The 19,774-nt window shown below is 52.0% G+C and overlaps 1 protein-coding gene across 1 annotated transcript, besides 1 other annotated feature; it reads left to right on the top strand.

Annotated features, from left to right (window-relative positions):
- On the top strand, positions 2,279–15,182 carry KRT79 (keratin 79). The gene is made up of 9 exons (NM_175834.3): positions 2,279–2,806; positions 4,964–5,184; positions 6,298–6,358; positions 6,472–6,567; positions 12,228–12,392; positions 12,578–12,703; positions 13,354–13,574; positions 14,211–14,245; positions 14,513–15,182. The coding sequence occupies exons 1-9, from the start codon at positions 2,330–2,332 to the stop codon at positions 14,716–14,718; spliced, it is 1,608 nt and encodes a 535-aa protein (NP_787028.1). The 5' UTR covers positions 2,279–2,329; the 3' UTR covers positions 14,719–15,182.
- Positions 17,870–18,371: an enhancer, noted in NCBI's record as "H3K4me1 hESC enhancer chr12:53212003-53212504 (GRCh37/hg19 assembly coordinates)". NCBI's record gives its function as "activates a minimal SCP1, AML or CMV promoter by ChIP-STARR-seq in naive H9 embryonic stem cells {active_cell/tissue: H9 hESC(naive)}" and the evidence as "EXISTENCE:reporter gene assay evidence [ECO:0000049][PMID:30033119]".

The raw sequence follows: 19,774 nt of genomic DNA, 5'->3' as shown, positions 1-19,774 counted from the left end.
AGTAATCAGTATAGCAGTGTGCAGCAGCTCTTCCTCTCTGTGGAGGGCAGGAGGGGAGGAAACTGCTCCTCCCTGGGCTGCAGAAAGAAGGTCTGAGCGTGCATGTCCTGTCTGAAGGTAGAGTGGAGAGTAGGGGCTGGTGGAGGCAAAGTGCCCTCCCAGGCTTCTGTCTGGGCCTGGGCTGTGAACCTGGGTGGGAGGGAGGCTGTCTCCAAGCAGCAAGCCGGGAGCTCCATGAGAGTGTGCCCTGGTCCCTGTGTGCCTGTCACCAGCTCCCAGCACAAAGCGTGGCCCAGAGAGCGTGCTTGGTAAATGTGTGCAAGGGACTGGCGTGAGTGTCGTGTCTGGGGTGAGGTGAGACTTGTGTTTATCGACTGCCTCTCACTCCCACCAGCCTGGCTGCCCTGTGACTCAGAGGGCTGACAACACTTCCTTGCCCAGGGGGCCCACAGCCACATCCTGGAGGCTAGGGCCCACTCATGACTGTTTCCTCCTCCCACGCCACCCAGGGAGAGATAAGGGAGGCTGAGAAAGTGATCTCAGCCTGGGGAAAGGAGACGAAGGTCAGTGGGAAGGGGCGGCTTCATCCAGGGATCACTTTTCGAAAGGTCTTCCACGGAGGGCCCTGCTTATAGGCAGAGAAAATGGGGCTCAGAGAAGTTGCGAGTTGCCCCAGGACACACAGCTCAGTGTGGGAGACGTCTCGGCTTGGCTCCCTGAAATGCCCAGTGTCCTAACTCCAAAATCTCCTCTTGGCTATTAAGGGACTAGTTCTGCAAGTGCTCTCACTCCCATTCCTTGTGGGAGCTGGGTTCAACCTCTTCAAGCAACGGGGAGCCACTTACAGCCTCCCAGGGGCCCTAGGAGAAGATCCCACAGCTCCCTCTGGTCCTGGAGCAGGCTGTCTCTTCACTTGCTGGGCTGTGGGGAACATGGGAGGGAGGCCAAGCCTTCTCCGTGGCAGTCCCATGTCCTCTCTGTTGGGATCCTGGGGACACAGCCTGGCTGGTTGTCCTGCTCATCTGATGGGGGTGGGGAGCACAGCGATGCTGTCCTCGCTCCTTTTTTTCAGGCAAGTCTCTGTTCACTTTGAGCCCATCTTCTTGCTGAGAGAAGGGGGTGGGGAGGGCCAGTGTCTAAAGTCACCTCCTCAGTCACCCCTCGGCCCTGACAGTTGACGTCTCTGTCTTTGCTTGGGGCTGTGTTTGGTCCCAGCAGACTGAGGTGAATAGGAAGTGGGCGGCGGGGACCATATGAGGTGATTTAAGGAGCTCCCCTGGCCCCTCTGAATCAGAAACATGGGCTCCTGCATGTGGGGCAGGGGAAGATGGGAGTGACGGGGCTGCTGCGTGGGCCTCCTGGGGCTTTTTTGGAACACCTGCTTTTTGGAGCTGTGCCTGTCTCCACCCAGGGTGGTCTGTGTCCTTGACCCACCTCCAGCTCCCTCCAAAGTGGCTGAACCTTTCTGTGGGGACTCTGCTGTGGGGTAGAGGCTCAGGGATCTCAGGTATTGGTTAAATCCCCTGCCCTCTCTTCAGCCTCCATAAGAATGTCCTTTGCTCCCAGGCTTCTGGGCCCTGCCTGAGGACCCCAGGCCTTTTCTACCTCCTGATCAAGGGCCTGGGCCCCACGATTGGGCAGGGATCCTCTTTCTGTCCTTGAATTCACTTTGCCAGCATAGGCTCACTTCCCAGAAGGCTCTGCCACTGTACGGCAGAGGCACAGGCTATCCCCACTCTCGCCCTGTCACCTGTGTCACACACCCTGGACCTGGGAGGAGTGGTGGGCCGTTGGCTGGGGGTGGGATGGGAGCAGGCCTGGATGCTCTCTCTGGCAGCCCATTGCCCAATGCTCCTTCTCCTACCACCTGTACAGCCCCAGGCCCTGCAGCCTTGGCTTACAACAGGGGCCTGGGACAAACCCCGTAGAACAGAGCCCTATTGACAGTGGCCTCTGGGGCTGGGTGGGAGGACAGCAAGCCAGCCACTGGGTGGTGGGGGTGGCCATGGGAGCCCGTATCATCCTGTGCCAACCGAGGAGAGCCTGGGGGCAGGGGGAGAAGGTGGCATCCTGCCCCAGACAGTCTCGGCTCAGCCCCAGCTCTGGAGCACAGGTGATAACCGGGAGGGCCCCTCCCTCCTGCTTGGGGAGAGGGCACTCCCCGTGGCCCTAAGGACCCCTCCCTCTCCCCTTGGGGCGATGGGGCAGGAGTGTCTGTGGAGCTGGGGAGCCGGCCCAGTTGGGAAAAGATAAAAAGCCCACAGTGGCCCAGCAGCTCACGGCACTCCCTTCCTGCCCTCTCATCCTGCCCTCCGGCCCCTCTGCAGCTATGAGGTCCTCCGTCTCTCGGCAAACATACTCCACAAAAGGGGGCTTCAGCTCCAACTCTGCCAGCGGAGGGAGTGGGTCCCAGGCCCGCACCAGCTTCAGCTCAGTGACGGTGTCTCGGAGCAGTGGCAGTGGTGGCGGGGCCCACTGTGGCCCCGGCACAGGTGGCTTTGGCAGCCGAAGCCTCTATAACTTGGGGGGCCACAAGAGTATCTCTGTCAGTGTGGCCGGAGGGGCCTTGTTGGGGCGGGCTCTGGGGGGCTTTGGCTTTGGCAGCAGGGCATTTATGGGACAGGGGGCTGGCAGGCAGACGTTTGGGCCTGCTTGTCCTCCTGGGGGGATCCAGGAGGTCACTGTCAACCAGAGCCTGCTGACCCCCCTCCATGTGGAGATTGACCCCGAGATCCAGCGAGTGCGCACTCAGGAGCGGGAGCAGATCAAGACCCTCAACAACAAGTTCGCCTCCTTCATCGACAAGGTGGGCCAAGCAGGAAGGAGGAAGGGAGCTCTTGGGGAAGAAGCGGGACCTCTAATAGAGGGTGGGCTGGGCCAGGGCTGCTGTAGCCCACTTGTACTAGGGTGGTGGTTGATAGAGCTCTGGAGCTCTCCCGGTCTGAGCCTGGGATGCCGAGACGTGGGTGGCTGGAGGCGGCCTTCAGGTCTTCACCGTGCCTGTGCGGGGGGAGTCTCCAGTCTACTCATGAGTCCGGTTTGCCAAGTCCACCTTGCCCGTGTTGAAGCCTGTCCTACCACCATGATTAATACGATTGATTGCACAGTAGCCTTACCTCATCATCAAAAAATGGATTGTCCTCATAGCTCCTCTTAGTGGGGTGGCCTGCATTGCCTTTTGTCATTTTACAGCTGGGGAAACAATGCTCAGGAGTTGAAAGAGTTGTTCAAGGCTAAGAGCATGGAGCCCTGTTTGTTCCATTCTTTCAGGCTTGGAGGAGGCTTAAGGGCAAGATGTGATCAAAACACAGTTGTGTGTGGGTGGGGTCCTAGGGGTAGGCTCCCTTCCGCTTCTCCTTTTTTTACACTCTGAGTGAAGAAGCTCAATTTGGGGTGGACAATGAGGAGGGTGGTCACCAGGTCACCAAGCTCTGGGAATGTGGAATTTGACCTGTTGCCCATAGGCATGCCCTGAACCTTGCCCTTGCCTCCAGATGGATGGGAGCAACACTTGTGCTGGGATTTCCTGGTCTGTTTCGCTGGCATTGTCCACCTCGATCCTGAGCCAAGGCAGCGGGTCATGATGGGGAAGGTCTGGCAGACAAATGTACCTTGGTTCAGTGATTTGTGTGTTTCCGAAGAACATGCACATCCCTTTTCTCCTGAGGTACCCACAGTGCTTCTATGAAGACTCAGAAATGGTGATATTGTGCCCATTTTTGAGATGAGAAAATTGAGGTCTAGAGAGCTCAAGTGATTTGCCCAGGATGATACAAGGAGTTGGAGGCAGAGGCGGGACTGGGACCCAGGCCCCTGGACTCTGTGGTTCTTGGCACTAAGAGTTGTTACTGCTCACAATAGGCACACCTGCTGCATGATGCTCCCAGGGCATGTGACTGAGGCCCAGGTAGTGTGGAGATGGGACCTGGAGATATTGGATGACAGAATATGAAGCAAGCCGTCTTGCCTGCCTCCTCACCCTCTCCCCTAGTGACTTTTGGTTTTCCTGTGGGACTGTCCCAGAGGCCAAACAAGCCAAAACCTTTCTCAGGATTGCAGAATCACAGCTTGGGAGCTGGAGGTCTGAGAGATTGTCTTGGAACCCCAGCTGGGCCAAGAACTCTCGGGGGTCCTGTTAAACCCACACCGTAAGCCTCCTTCTGAGTCTATAGAGGAAGGGCTCAGACATTGGTACTTTAAAAAAAGTTTTTTTTGGGAAAAAATGTTGAATTTACAGAAAAGTTGCAAGAATAGTACAACATACTCCTGTATACTCTTTCACCCAGTTCACCAATTTTCTTAATTTATTATTATTATTTTTTGAGACAGGGTCTTGCTCTGTTTCCCAGACTGGAGTGCAGTGGTACAGTCATAGCTCACTGCAGCCTCCATCTCTTGGGCTCAAGTGATCCTCCCACTTCAGCCTCCTGAGTAGCTGGGACTACTGGTGCATGCCACTACACCTGGCTAATTGTCTTGATTTTTAGTGGAGACAGTCTTGCTATGTTGCCTAGGCTGGTCTTGAACTCCTGAGCTCAAGCACTCCTCCAGCTTCAGGCTCCCAAAGTGTGTGATTTTAAACAGTTGATTTACATTTTAAACAGATGATTTTAATGCAGAATTAGGGGTCAGAAACATAGATCTAGTCCAGTTTATGCAGGACAAGTGAGAGAGGGAGACTCAGAGAGAAATGATTCGACCAAGGTTACCAACTAGTAAATTGGTACTGCTACTGAGCTGGGCTTTTGTGCTTATTAACTTGGTAGAGTTCTTTCCATCAGATTGGACGGTCGTTTCCAGCAGTCTATTCCCCTAAGGAGTGCCTCCCCACAGCAAAGTGTAGGTGCGGCTGCAGCGTCCCTATGTTGCCCTGGCCTTGGAGGGGAGGTGGCAATGGACCCCATCCTTGGCTCCTCTGGTGACCGGAGGGTGACATCAGCCCACCCTTTCTGCTCTGGCTCAGGTGCGGTTCCTGGAGCAACAGAATAAGGTGCTGGAGACCAAGTGGGCACTGCTGCAGGAGCAGGGCCAGAACTTGGGTGTCACCAGGAACAACCTGGAGCCCCTCTTTGAGGCCTACCTGGGTAGCATGCGGAGCACGCTGGACAGACTTCAGAGCGAGCGGGGGAGGCTGGACTCAGAGCTCAGGAACGTGCAGGACCTTGTGGAGGACTTCAAGAACAAGTGAGGAGAGCAGGCCAGGCGGGGCCATGTGGGAGTGAGGAGGGGCAGTGGGAAACCTGCCAAGAGGGCCACCCCATTCCCAGGGTCCCAGGCCCACCTGGGGGATGCACAGACAGAGCTGGCTCCCTCAGGTGCTCAGGTCCAGCACCTGCTGCCACCTGGAGAATTGGCAGGTTTGTTTGTAATTTAAAAAAGTTTTTAAAGTAGGGGGAATAGTATAATGAACCCCATGTTCCTGTCACCCAGCTTTAATCATTATCAACTCATAACCAATCTTGTTGCATTTTTTACACCTCCCCACTTCCCTTCTTCCCGTGTAGTCTTTTTTTTTTACCTTTGCCTTTTTCTACGTGTTCTGATTCCCTTGTAGTCTTGAAGCAAATCCCAGACATCTTGTCATTTCATTCACTAATATTTTACAAGTTATATTCATATATCTGCATGTGAATGTAGTTCATCTATGACTCAGTAAAACATACAGTGGCATAATCACACCTAAAAAATTTTAAAACAATAATTCCTCAATATCATTAAATATCCAGCCAGTTTTGAATTTCCAGTGACCCCATACATGTCATAAATTTAAAAAATACAGCTTATTTGACTCAAGCTCCAAAGGTTTATATATTATAATTGGTTGATATGCGTATTTATAACTTTTAAACACGCACATTTAAAAATGACTTTTCCCATAAATTGACCATGGCAATTTCTAAACCTTAAAATCTCATCAAAAGTGGTTGGGGAGGAGTTAGCTGGTTTGAATGACACTGTGTTGTTGAAAGTGATGGTAAAGGTCAGCCACTGTTGACACATCTTCACTTGTCCCTCTAAAGCCTCCTAAGGGCTTGGATCCAAAGAGATGGCAGCTCTTGATTGCCATATTATTGCACAAATTCTGTGCCTCTTTCCCTAAAATGGGGTGGGGAGAGAGAATGTTTAAATCAAGGCAGACCCCATGTTTCTTCACTGGTTGGCTACATTAAAGAACTGCTCCCCAGAGGTGTTCTTGATCAGTGAGGGACCCATCAGGGCTTCTGTAAGGCTGAGTGGGTCCCATGCCTGAAAGGCAGAGCCAGGCTGAGCCTGGCCTGAGTCTCCCATGTGTAACAGGTACGAGGATGAAATCAACAAGCACACTGCTGCAGAGAACGAGTTTGTGGTGCTCAAGAAGGTGAGCCGAGTGGAGTGGGGGAGGTGGTCCTTTGGCTGCCAGGGTACTGGGCTGATTCGGGGAGAGGGGACATCCCTGGGGCCTGAGGATCTGTCTTGCTCTCTCGTCCCCAGGATGTGGATGCAGCATACATGGGCCGGATGGATCTGCATGGCAAAGTGGGCACCTTGACCCAGGAGATTGACTTCCTGCAGCAACTCTATGAAATGGTGAGGTGGCCAATGGGCAGGGAGAGTTTGCATACACTATAAACAGCACTGGGCGTTTTCCATGGAGGTCTGACCTGAATTCACCAGTGCAACCTCATTGGTGGAAGATGAAACCTTAACACTTTTTTTTTTGAGACGGAGTTTCGCTGTGTTACCCAGGCTGGAGTGTAGTGGCACAGTCTTGGCTCACTGCAACCTCTGCAAAGCGATTCTCCTGCTTTAGCCACTGGAGTAGCTGGGACTACAGGTGCCTGCCACCATGCCCAGCTAATTTTTGTATTTTTAGTAGAGATGGAGTTTTGCCATGTTGGCCAGGCTGGTCTTGAACTCCTGACCTCAGGTGATCCACCCGCCTTGGCCTCCCAAAGTGCTGGGATTACAGGCGTGAGCCACCGCACCCAGCCTAAAACCTTGACACTTTAATTAATACTAGCTTCAACTTATTAAGTGCTTTTGATGGGCCAGGCACGGGGGCAAACTTTTAACATAATCTTCTCAATAACCCCAGAATGCAAGAACTATTATTGTCTCAATTTTATAGTCAAGGACCCTGGGGCTCAGAGTTGCTCGTGGTCACATAGCTAGGAAGAAGCATGCTAGAATTCAAATCTGGCTCTTGAACTCCGAAGTCTGACTCTTACCACTGTTATATTGCCCTCTTCCTGCCCGGTTTGTAATGGAGCAAGGGATGAGGGAGCAGGAATGGGCAGAGAGGAGGGACTGGGATTCCAGATTGGAGTAGAAGGTGAGGCGTGGGTAGATTAAAGAATCCAGGAGGGGTTCCAGGAGACAAGAGGGCTTTGGAGACTAGAGTGAGAGGGTTGAACTTAACATGAATTGACCGCAGAATCACAGACTCTTAGGGTCCGCAGGGACCTCAAGACCAACCTTCCATCCAGTGCAAGAACAATTTCTATGATATCCCTGACATAACCCTATCATATGTAACCTCTACTCAAATACTTCCTGTGGCAGTGAGCTCACTACTTTTTAGGGCAGGCATTACCATTGTTGAACAACTTCATTAGAGCACTGACTTGAATCTCCTTCTCATGACTTCTGCCCTTGACTTTGCCCAATTGTCTTCTTGTGACTTATGCCTTTCACATGATAGCCCTTTAGAAGTCATGATGATGACAGGATAAAAATCTGTGGCATGTGAGGACGTTCAGGAAACAGGGCTTTTAGTGAAGTATTCAGAAGATGGAGGGGTGGGGAGGGAGGTTCCAGATACAAACTTCTATTGATGCAGCCTAATAGTGCACTAGTTTATGTGTTGTTTTAGAAGTTGTTTCACAACGTTGGCTTTCTTAGAACCCCTTCTGGACTTTTTCACATAAATGCTTTCAAATGAGACATGTATCTACTCTCCTCCAACTTCCTGTATGTGGGTAGCTGAATTTTGCAATTGAGTGGAACAGTTAACCATTCCCTTTCTTTCCTATGAAATGCCACTGTGGTGTCATCCCAACATTTTAAGCTATGTGGGCTCTTAGTAACTTGATTCTTTTATCCAGTGTATTAGTGATGCATAGCTTTGTGTTATCTGCAGGTGGGATAAACTTTCAGTCTAGGTATTTGATAGCATCTCAGTGTAAATCATTGATACACATGTTAAGGCAATCAGGGCCTAAAACAAAGTCCTGTGGGTCTTCAGTGGTGATTTTCCAAGGGACTGTTAGTCTGTTAACCAATAATTTGTGGTTAAAGAGCCTCAGCTACTTTAAAATCCCCTTAACAGTACTGTTACCAGGATCACATTTTTCTGTCTTCTTTCAAGAATGCTATGGAAGGCTTGGTCAGACATTGTCTATGGCAGGCCTTTAGCAGTTTAATATTATAATCATGAAGGAAAATGAAATCCACTTGGTTCCACTTTTCCTTAGGGAACCCATGATGGCTTCATGCCTCTCACACACATTTAGGAATTCATTCTATGGGTCTGGAGGAGGTTGATGTCAGCCTTATTTGAAAAATTCCAAATCTCTCCCATTTGAAAATCAGGCCATTTGCTGCGTTTGGGGTTTTGGGGTCTCCTCCTCTCCATATCTCTCAAGGATGACCAGGGCGTTCCTTCCCTTGGCAGTCCCTGGAGCCTCTGAGTGTATGCTTTTCTAGCCTGGATCCCTGTGATCTCCAACAAGGCCAAGGTCTCTCATCTACCCTGTCTTGGGTTCCCATTTCCTCTCAAGCATATTTCTTGTGCTTTCCACTTTGATGACCAGTTTGTTCTTGATGGAAAAGAGGCAAATGACAAAGCAGCTGAGCGATTGGCCTTTCCTGGATCTTCTGTAGGGATCAGCCCAAAGGGACCTCCGTGTTATTTCTGCCTAGAGTTCATCTAGCAGCCTCTGACCCCTGGCTTTGGTGTTTCCCGGGCTTATCCTTGGCTGGATTGCTTGCCTTCCAGCATCTCTGCACGGCCTGTCTGGATGGAACTTACTGGGAAGTTTTCTGGGCTGCCATGCTGAGTTTTTAGGTGCTTCCCCAGTTTCTACTTTGCCAGGGTCATTGATAGTCATTCATGGTCTGGGGCCTCCTTGTGGTCCATTAGGTTCCATTCTCTCTCCCCCTCTTTTCTGAATGTTTAGGAATTGGCTTTTCTTTGGTCTAAGGACATGGCTGGCATACTCAGCATTCCTTTCCATTGCTATGCCTTGTTTATTTAACAAACATTTACTGAGCACCTTCCACATAGCAACAAAGACAAAGTCTCAGCTCTTGTGGGGCCAGGTTATCAAGTGATGAGAGCTGTGGGGGACAGGCACAGGTGCAAAGGCACATGGGACGCCATGGCTGACCCTTCCTGGGAGGGCTGCGGAAGCCTTCGAGGGAGGTGACTTCTGAGTTGGATCTTGATGGAAGGGCTAGACTTCTAGAGGAGGAGCAGGAAGGACTTGGCAGCCTGGGGCCCAGCCTGTGCAGTGTCATGGAGGCATGAAGGAACATGGTGCTTGGGGACCAGTGGGTGGTGAGTGCCCACATCGAGTGTGTGGGCACAGTTAGGTGAGCAGGAGGCAAGGGAAAGAGTGGTAGGGACCAAGCCTGGGCCCTTTCCTGTCAGAGGTCCTCACGGCCCAGCAGTGCCTCCGTGGGGTGAGAACAAGGATCAGCACAATTGTTCTGTTGCTGCCTCATGGGCTCGATCAGTCACGGAACCAGCATGGCTCTCAGTAACCAATGCCATGATCTGGTTTTGGCCAAGCCAGATCCCACGGCAATCTGGGGGATGAACCACCTATCACTGGGTGTCTCATAGGGCAGGAAGGCAGCCTCCATGGTGGCCTCCCTCTGGCCTGGGGCATCTGTGGAACCCAGTCCCTCTTCCGCTTGTGCCACTTCTGCCCGCTGGCTCCCTTTACCCTTGCCTAGAAGTCTCCACTGTCTTTCCCCCTTAGAGTCCCTGGTGTCTAAGGAGACACACACCTTAGCGATTCACAGAGCTCTTTCTGCTCTGATTTCACGAGCTCCCTTTCATCGGAAAGCCTGACTTTTTTTTTTTTTTTTTTTGAGACAGGGTCTCATTCTGTCACTCATGCTGGAGGGCAGTGGCGCAATCACAGCTCACTACAGTCTCGACCTCCTGGGCTCAAGCGATCCTCCCACCTCAGCCTCCCAAGTAGCTGGGATTACAGGCGCACGTCACCATGCCTGGCTAATTTTTGTATTTTTTGTAGCGACAGCATTCACCATTTTCCCCAGGCTAGCCTTGAACTCCCAAAATGCTGGGATTACAGGTGTGAGCCACTGCACCTGGCCAAGCCTGACCTTTCTATCCCCTTGTTCCAGCAAGACCATTGCATCACCTCATCCACTCTTGATGCCATCCAGTGGAGAGATTTTGCCTCCTTGTCTTAAAAGTTTCGGGTTGATTTTCCTGAGGACTATGCTCTGACATGGGGCTAGAGACCCTGAGCTAAGGAGGGCAGGGGCAGGATGCGTCAAGATGATGCTGACAGTTCATCTCGGTGGGGAAGGAGACAAAGCAGCTGTGACAACACAATCTTATCTGTGACAAATAGACCTTATGGGCACCTCCAGTGGCCTTCAGAGAAGTCTGGGAAAGTAAGAATGCACTTTACTCAGCACATGCCATGGGTCATACATGGATCTTAAGCCCCACAACCACCACAGGAAGAAAGTATGATCAGGCCGTGTTACAGAAGAGGGAACTGAGGCATCGCAAGGCTCAGCTGCTACATCAGCTACACAGCCAGTGCGTGTTAGGCTGGGGACTTGATCTCAGGCTTGTCTATCTCCAAAACTCATATCTTCCCAAAAACCACAAGTTTTTGTAGTGACTAGATTGATTGCATCTCTAAACTCCTCATCCCACTTTTTGAAAGACAATCTAATTTAACAATCTACATCTACATCAGTATGGATATCAGTTTTGCCTTTGGTATTTCTCTTTTCCCCCTGTCTCTCTTTGTTCCTGCCTATCTCTATTTTAGTCTACGTCCTCTCAGCTTCTGATGTCAGACTCCTGGGGTTTGAAACTGAGCTCCTCACTTACTGGCTTGTGATCTGGGCCAAGTTACTTAATCTCTTTGTGCTACTGGAAAAGGGCATGTAATGAGTTAGTACCTGCCACATGCCTAACACAGAGCCTGAATCACAGTGATGCTCAGCATGCGAGGGTTGTTATTATTATTCTATTATAATTCCCTGGGCTGCCATGAAGGGCCAGTGTTTGAGAAAGGATGGAGACAAGACCAGGATATGGGAGGTGTTGGGTTTTAGGGGGAAGGTTCTCCACCTATCAGGGAGCCTCTGAGGACTACTGAGTGAATGAGTGATTTGTCAGAGCTGGAGTTTAGGGCATTCTATGGGCAGCCCAGAGCAGGAAGGACCATGGGAGAGATGGAGGCAGAGCCCCACGTGGGAGCCATCACAGTCCTGGCCCAGCGATCCCACTGGTCCCAAGGCCAGAACAGAGACCTTTGATTCCCCATCACCTAACCCGCCATTCACAGCATCCTGAAGCCTACTTATGTGTGAAGGACGATGGTTCTAGAAACAGGAGGGCCCAAGAACATCAAGACAGTCTATACTTTTCAGTGTGCTCTAGAGGAAACCACTTGGGCTTTGTGGTGCAATTGACTGGTCCCAGGCTGGGTCCCACCCTGGACCTGGTGCCCTTGGATGCATCACTTCTCCTCTCCAAACCTCTTTCCTCACTTGTCCATGGTCAGGACTACTGTGGATGGTGGTGCAGTTGGTGACTTGGCTGGTGCTGGACATGCTGTTTCCACCTGAAGGGGTGTCTTTCCCCAATTTGCACAAAGGCACCCTGTGAGCCTGCCATGGGCCTGCCAGCTGCACAGGGTGTTCTGAGGCCTAGAGGGGTTAGTGAATGTGCTAGCACAGTGCCGGGCACCAGTGTTAGTGCAGAGAGTACACATTCTCTTTACCCTCTCTAATCTTTTGGAAGCCTGCAAACCCATAAAAATAAATGAAGTCTGTAAAAATGGGAGCTTCATTTTATAGCTGGGGAGACTGAGGCCTTTCCTTGCAGTTTTCCTTACTTTGCTCTAGGCTGGAGCCTGGACAAGAGCACAGGCCTCCTGATGCTACCTGGGGGCCCATGTCCTTCACCCTCTGATGCTTCCTGGGGCCTGGAGCAGGGGTGCTGGTGGCAGCTGTCTCTGATTCTTCAGGAGCTGAGCCAAGTGCAGACCCACGTGTCTAACACCAATGTGGTGCTGTCCATGGACAACAACCGCAACCTGGACCTGGACAGCATCATCGCCGAGGTCAAGGCCCAGTATGAGCTGATTGCCCAGAGGAGCCGGGCTGAGGCCGAGGCCTGGTACCAGACCAAGGTGAGAGGCATAGCTGGCTCAGGTGTGAGGCCTGGGGTCGGATCAGATCTCCCATCGTGAGAGGCTTGGGCCTCTGGGACCCTTGGAGTCCGGGGGGCCAGATATACTCAACTTGCATGGGGCCTCCAGCTGTGAGGGTGGGCTGGGGCCATTTGAAAGCGCACTGCCACTTCTTTGGTCCCCAGTATGAGGAGCTGCAGGTGACTGCTGGGAAGCATGGGGACAACCTGCGGGACACCAAGAACGAGATTGCTGAGCTCACCCGCACTATCCAGAGGCTGCAGGGGGAGGCTGATGCAGCCAAGAAGCAGGTGGGACTCTACTGGGGGCTTGGGGGTCTGGCCTAGGTGTTGGCAGGGCCTTCTCATTGTCACCCCGAGGGGCTAGGCCTGCTCTTCTCCTGACGGACACAATAGAATGCTAGGCCATTGATCACAGGCTCCTTTTACATGGGGGGAAACTGAGGCACAGAGCAGGAAGGAGCTTGTCCAACGTCACATGGTATATGAGTGGTAGAGCAGGTGGGACAACCTTCTCCAAGGAAACTGATCCATCCCATCTCCAGGAAGTCAGAACAGGAGGTAGAGGGTTCAAGGGGCCAGGTCACAGATGCTGATGCCGACTCCACCTTTAGAACGGCTAAAAAGTGTGGGTTCTTTCACAGATTAGAATGAAGCACCTGGTTACTAATAAGGCTGTGTTATTTATTTCATCTCTTCTGAGGCATTGGGCTGATCTGCAGCAGGAGGGGTTGAGGTTAGACTTCAGTAAGGACTTTCCCAGTGGCCTTACTTGATCCTGCTTGTGTAATAGCATCTCTTCAGATGAATATTTCTCTTCTCTCTTTCCCAGCTGGTTGGGGGCAGGGATGTGGGAATGATGATGTCTCCATGGCTTGAGGGCAGAGAGATGAATGGGATGACCCCGGAGGGTGCTTCCAACACCTTTCTCCCCTGGGCAGTGTCAGCAGCTGCAGACGGCCATTGCGGAAGCGGAGCAGCGTGGGGAGCTGGCACTCAAGGATGCTCAGAAGAAGCTTGGGGATCTGGATGTGGCCCTGCACCAGGCCAAGGAGGACCTGACACGGCTGCTGCGTGACTACCAGGAGCTGATGAATGTCAAGCTGGCCCTGGACGTGGAGATTGCCACCTACCGCAAGCTTCTGGAGAGCGAGGAGAGCAGGTGGTGGCCCCTCCTGCCCGACCCAGAAAGCTGGGTCGGGCCTGCCCTGGGGGAGAGCCCAGGGAGTCTGCTCCGGGGTCAAGAGAGGGAGAGAGGAACCAGGGAGCAAGATCCTGACTCACGCGGGGGGAAAATCTGCTTGTGCCCACTGCCTCCATCACTCCTCTCCTTGGTTGGCACAACTCTTGTTAATCTTTACTGTGGCTGACAGCCCGGTAGGAATGGAACTTCCTCTTCCACCAGCAGATTTCACCAGCAGTGGAAGCTTTGGAAAAAAAAATCCACCATCTCTGTCCTTAGGAAAAGCATGAAATAGAAAGTGGGCAGAAACTAGGCAGCTCTGTCTGGTCGTGGGCTTGTTTCCATTGGGGCAGGGATGCTGTCCGTAGCCCACATGGGCAGAGAGGAAAGAAAAGGGGAGGATGGGAGTTGGCACAGCCTACTGGTGGCTCTGCCCTTTCTGCAGCACTGGCTTTTGGACCTGGGCACAGCCCTATACACATACTTCTCATGTTTCCTGGTCTTGTCATCAGGATTCACTGAGTGGATCCAATGTAAAGGCAGAGGGAAGGAGAGGGTTTTCATGTGGGCACCAGGGATAACTGACTGCTCTCCTGGCCTTTCTGTGTCCCCTAGGATGTCTGGAGAATGTCCCAGTGCAGTCAGCATTTGTGAGTATTTACTCCCCACTTCCTGCTCCACCCCTGGCCAGGCCCCAGAACTCTGCTCAGTTTATGCAACCTGTACCTGTCCTAAAGCATGCTCTCCTCCATTCGAGCCCCTGGAGACAGGTTCAGAGGGTCCTAGTTCTGGGCTTCTCTATCCATTTCCCATAGCTCTGCTGCTTGATTTTGTTCTGATTCCCCACTGATTTCTGGGTCTCCCCCAGCCCTCTCTGGCATGGCCGCCCTGACTAATCCAGACCCTTTGCTTTGCAGCTGTGACTGGCAACTCCACCACTGTGTGCGGAGGTGGCGCAGCCAGCTTTGGAGGTGGCATCTCCCTGGGTGGGAGTGGGGGGGCCACCAAGGGTGGATTCAGCACAAATGTGGGCTATAGCACCGTCAAGGGAGGGCCAGTCTCTGCGGGCACCTCCATCCTGCGGAAGACCACTACGGTCAAGACGTCCAGCCAGAGGTATTAGCTGCTGAGCCCTGCAAGGGCCCCTGCAATCCTGTCCCTGCCCTCCTCACCCCACCTCTGCTGTCCTTTCCAGTCACTTCTCAGGAGCAGGAACAGCCAGGGGACCTCAGACCCAGGGTATTTTCATACCAGACTATTTGCATCTTGGGAAGCGCTCAAATCTACTCAGGTTTTCTCCTTGGTCCTGCAGTAGGATGGGAGGGAAGGTTAAAGTTGCCAGCTTGAGTGATGTGCTTGGGTGACTTGGGGGTGACCTTTTGACCACCGAGAGGAGGCTGAATTTCTCAAGCCATTAGGAGAGAGAGAAATTGGGAGTGGTCCCCAAAGACCCTTCAACCTCCCCAGTCCCCCACCAGACCCACCCTCTCCCTGAATCTACCCACATCCCCCTTCCCTGTCTGTGTCTCAATAAATGGTGCAACTGCAGCTAGCTGTCTGTGGCTGCAGTCTGTCCTGCCTGGGGAACTGAAATTGTGTCCATTGATTAACATCCTGATGCCTGACACAGCAATAATCACACACTCACCACATCCCAATCGCCATGCTTACTTAGGTACATTAGTTTGATACCATCGCCACTCCAGGGCTGTACATGGCTCACAAGAGGAGACCAAGGCTCAGAGGGAATATGTAAGCTGCTCAAGGCCAGACCTGGCTAAGTGGCTGCCTATTAACCAGCCACCCCTGGTGCCTGTTCAGCCTCCCACTAACTCTGTAGGGGCAGACAGCATGCTTTGTTCAGTGGAGAGGTCTTAGGCTTCAGAACTAGGCAACTTGGGTTTAAATCCAAGTTCTGCCACTTACTAGCTGTATGACCTCGGTCAAGTTACCTAACCTCTCTGAGCCTTAGTTTCCTCCTTTGTAAAAGTGGGTTGTGATAAGAACATGTGTAAAGCATCTGGCTTATAGAGGCCCTTTCAGGAATCAGGTTTCTTTGCTTTCCCACTCCCTGACTTCTGGATTCCCAGCTTATCCTCTTGGCCTCAGTGATGTCTCTCTCAGCCCCCACATCCAGTCGGCAAGAAAAATCCACACTTAATTGGGTTTTGTGGTTTACACATACATTACTTTGCCTGTGACCATCACCACAGCCCTAGGTTCAGTAGTGGGCATGTGGTGTTCCAGTTTACAGGTGAGGCGATTCACGCTCACAGAAGTGACCTCTCATGCTGTAGTCATCCAGCTGGCTGGAGGTGGGTCAGTAGTGTCCAGGGCTGCAATTTCAAGCCCTCTGTCCTGTCACCCCAGAAGCTACCTCCGTCCTACTCCTGCCTCCATCACTCGCCAAATCTTACTGCTCCTCCCTCCATGCGTCTCTTGGTATCACCTTCTTTCCTCTTCATCTCCACAGTTCTCTACTTTGAGTCTGGACCCCACTCCTCAAGCTGTACCCAAGTGATTCCCCAATTGGCTGGCCTCTCAACCCTGCACCTCTCAGGCCCTCCCCACCCTGCTACCAAACCAGTTGGCCCGACCCGAGGCTGTCACCACTCCGCTCCCTTCCTTGGCAACCTTAGGGCTCCTGGCAGTTGCTGGGATGCATCCCACACTCTTCCGGCCTGATCACTCTGTCCTCCTCAGAGGAGCCCCGAAGAGCCCTGAGAAAGCTTCCTCCAGGGCTGTGGAAGGCCAGCAGAGGGATTTTCAGCCAAACCCTAACCTCCAGCTTAGGAACACAAAGGCCTAGCGGTTTAGGGTCAGCTCTGCCTCACCAGCTTGGGTGGTCTCTAGCTTCCCTTCTCAGACAGATGGAGTATAGTCCACCCCATGTACAACACTTTGAGGAATACTTGCTAATGCTCACTGAGTGCCAACTGTGTGCCAGAACTGCTGTCAAGCCTTTAACTGATTCTCTTCACAACAGCCTATAATATAAATACTATTATCATTCTAATTTTGCCTATAAGGAAAATAAGGCACAGAGTGGTTAAGTAACTTGCCTAAGGTCACACAGCTAGGAAGTAGCAGAGCTAGGTGTGGAATCCAAGCAATCTGGTTCCATAGCCCAAGCTCTTAAGCACCAGGTTATTTTGCTTATATAGAAAAAGGAATGGAGACCTGGGGATGCTGGAGCTAGAAGGGGCATTGGATGTAATCGACTCCAAACTTTTTATTTCATAGATAAGAAAACAGGTTGAGGAAGGGGAAGAATGTATCCAAAGCCACGGTAACTTAGTGGCAGTGTTAAAAAAAAAATCAGTTTTAGTGAGATCATAGGCCAGGTGTTGTGGCTCCTGCCTGTAATTCCAGCACTTTGGGAGGCTGAGGCAGGTGGATCACTTGAGCCCAGGAGTTCAAGACAAGCCTGGCAACATGGTGAGACTCTGCCTCTACAAAAAAATACAAAAATTAGCTGGGTTTGATAATGCATACCTGTAGTCCCAGCTACTTGGGAGGCTGAGGTGGGAGGATCACTTGAGGCTGTTGAGGCTGCGGTGAGCTGTGATTGCACCATTGCACTCCAGCCTGGGTGACAGAGGGAGACCCTGTCTCAAAAAAATTATATTTAGGGCTCAAAAACTGAACAATAGAAACTTTTGATTGTCATGGAAAAAAGCCTCAGAGATTATACTGCAGCCCAGGGGGGCCCACCAACAATAATGCGCTGCTTAGACATACTTGTCGAAGGAGGGGAATGGCCCAGACCCAGGGGTTTCCAAACTGAGGACCCTAAGGGCTGCTTTCAGGGGTGCAGGGGGAGGTCAGCAGGTGAGAAGGATCATGGTCCCTCCTCTGCACCAACTGGATCATCTCTCCTTATCTGTTTTACTCATGAGGCTGTGCACGTGATTTTGTTTATGAGGGTGCTTTTGCTGCCAGAACATGCTGGGAAGCCCCTGCCTGTATATGCCTGGGGTAGGAGGCCAGCAGGGGCAGCTCTCCGGCCCGGGGAAAGAGGAGCCCCTGGGTACAGACCCCCATACCTGGCTCTCAGGAGTGCCCGTCCTCTCATTGCCCTCACTGGCCTCTCCCTAAAACGCTGATGGCCCTTTTCTGCAGAATCTCTGATCCCCGTGTTGTCTCTGGTTCCCCAAGAATGACTCAGGCCCGGTGGGGCAGTTGAGGTTGGGTGACCGAATGGAGTGAGGGTGCCCGCCTGGCCAGGGAGGGCAGGAGCACTTTCCCACACCACACAGTGGGTTTGGAGATGAGAGTGACAGAAGCCCTCAGGATCCCTTAATCCCAGGGCTGAATGTAAGGGCTTGCCTCCCTTACCCAGAAAGCCCTGAGCAAACACTCCCTCCGCCTGGCTCCACACCCCTGTCGGCTGCTCATCCCTCTGTGAAAAGATTGGGAACAGCTGCCAAACAAGGAAGGGTCACCGAGGGCAGTAGCAGAATCTGCGTGTGGAGGTCTGGGGAGGGGCAGGGGACAAGCTTCCAGCTGTGGCTGCTGGGTAGTGGCGCCTTGTTCAGCCACCTGCCTCTGGCCCACATATGAAGGCAATGTCTTTCCCCGTTTTCAGGGAAAGAAACTCATCTCTCTTTCTCTCTCACTCTAGGGTGTAAAGGCGCTCTTGCATAGGAAGTTCTTCCTTAGGTCTACCTTCGGTTTCTCAGGCTCAGTTTGAAGATTTTGTGAGCTTCTTGCAATTCTGATTTAATAATAAGGACACAGAATGTGGCTCTAGACTAGAACTTTCTTCTTGTTTGGATTGGGTTTATGGTAGGGTTTGTCATGAAATTAATTTGGATTTAGTTAATTGGAGGATACAAAACTGGCCCCTCAGGACAGTGTCATACCTTATTGGGTACTTGTAAGGACAGGGCCACATCAACCAAGCAACTGACCATGTGCTGAGGGTAAGGACAAAAAGGAGCGGAGCTGCATCTGCAGAGCTTGCAGCCTGCTGGCCAGACCCCATGGCTGTCTTGGTGGACCATGAGGTACAGGGCTGTATAAGTTGCTGTGTATTTTTTTCCCTGCATATTCTGTGTGGGCCAGTCACTCATATAAAACATTATACCTACCGTTTTATACATTGTAAGGTCACAAGCTTTGAAGTCAGACAGATAGTACTGACTTCCTATCTCTACCACTTCCTGGCTGTGTGATCTCAGGCAAGTTACATACCCCTCTGAGCCTCAATATCTGCAGCTCCAAACTGGACATAGCAAAGCACCTCTTTGACTGGGTTGTTGGAAGAAGCACCTAGTGTTCAGCATATAACAGTAGTTCCAAGAGAGAATCCCTTCTACCCAAGAGGCACCGCTGCCTTTCCTTCATCTTCCTTCTTGTATCAGCGATGGCACACCTCAAGTCACCTTCATGAGAAGTACCTCAATCGTAGCTCCATGGTTTGGGTGCCCCACAGGCACAAAATAAGACTGATTACATATTCTATATTGTTTCCCTGAAAATCCCCTTGGCTCCTGGCTTGCTTTTTGTTCTAAGCAGTAGACACAACTCTAGGGGCAGTGAACCCATGCCATTTTCTCCTAGTGTTGGAGTGTTACAGCCATAGAGTAAAAGACCCAATAAGCACACTATGAGCCATCTCAGGGATTCACTTGTGCTCAGGCAAAGCCTACCCCGGCCTGTGATAGTCCCCATCAAATCCCAGGGGCTACCAGAGAAGAAAGCAGTGAACGGCAGGTGCAGAGGCTGAGGTGAGGCAGCCGGGGGGTGAGCTCCAGCCATCACTCAGGGTGAGATCCTGATGGCCCTGCCATGTCCTCTGGGGCAGGTAACCAGTCAATTGGACCTCAGCTTCCCAAGTGGGAGGCTCACATGTCTCCTCAGCTCCTGCAGCTGCAGCCCGCAAAGACCTGCAGTAGCTCCCACCCTCCTTCCAAGCCATGCCCACCTTAGGAGCAACAGTGGAAATCGATAGACCCTGGGATGCTAGTGCCCCCAGAGCCCCTTTGACCCGAACAGTCAGTTCCATCAGATTTATTTGGGTGCACATTCTGGATTGGTTGTGACACAATTTAGACAGAGTGGCTTTATACCAGGCAGAACAGTGTGAGTGAGAGGCTATAGAATATGGAGCCTTTGGGCCAGGTGCAGTGGCTTACGCCTGTAATCCCTGCACTTTGGGAGGCCGAGGCGGGCAG

The sequence above is a fragment of the Homo sapiens genome, chromosome 12 (genome assembly GCF_000001405.40).
Source record: "Homo sapiens chromosome 12, GRCh38.p14 Primary Assembly".
Taxonomy (NCBI): domain Eukaryota; kingdom Metazoa; phylum Chordata; class Mammalia; order Primates; family Hominidae; genus Homo; species Homo sapiens.
The sequence above is the reverse complement of the archived record's forward strand: the minus strand, read 5'-3'. Positions and strand labels throughout refer to the sequence as shown.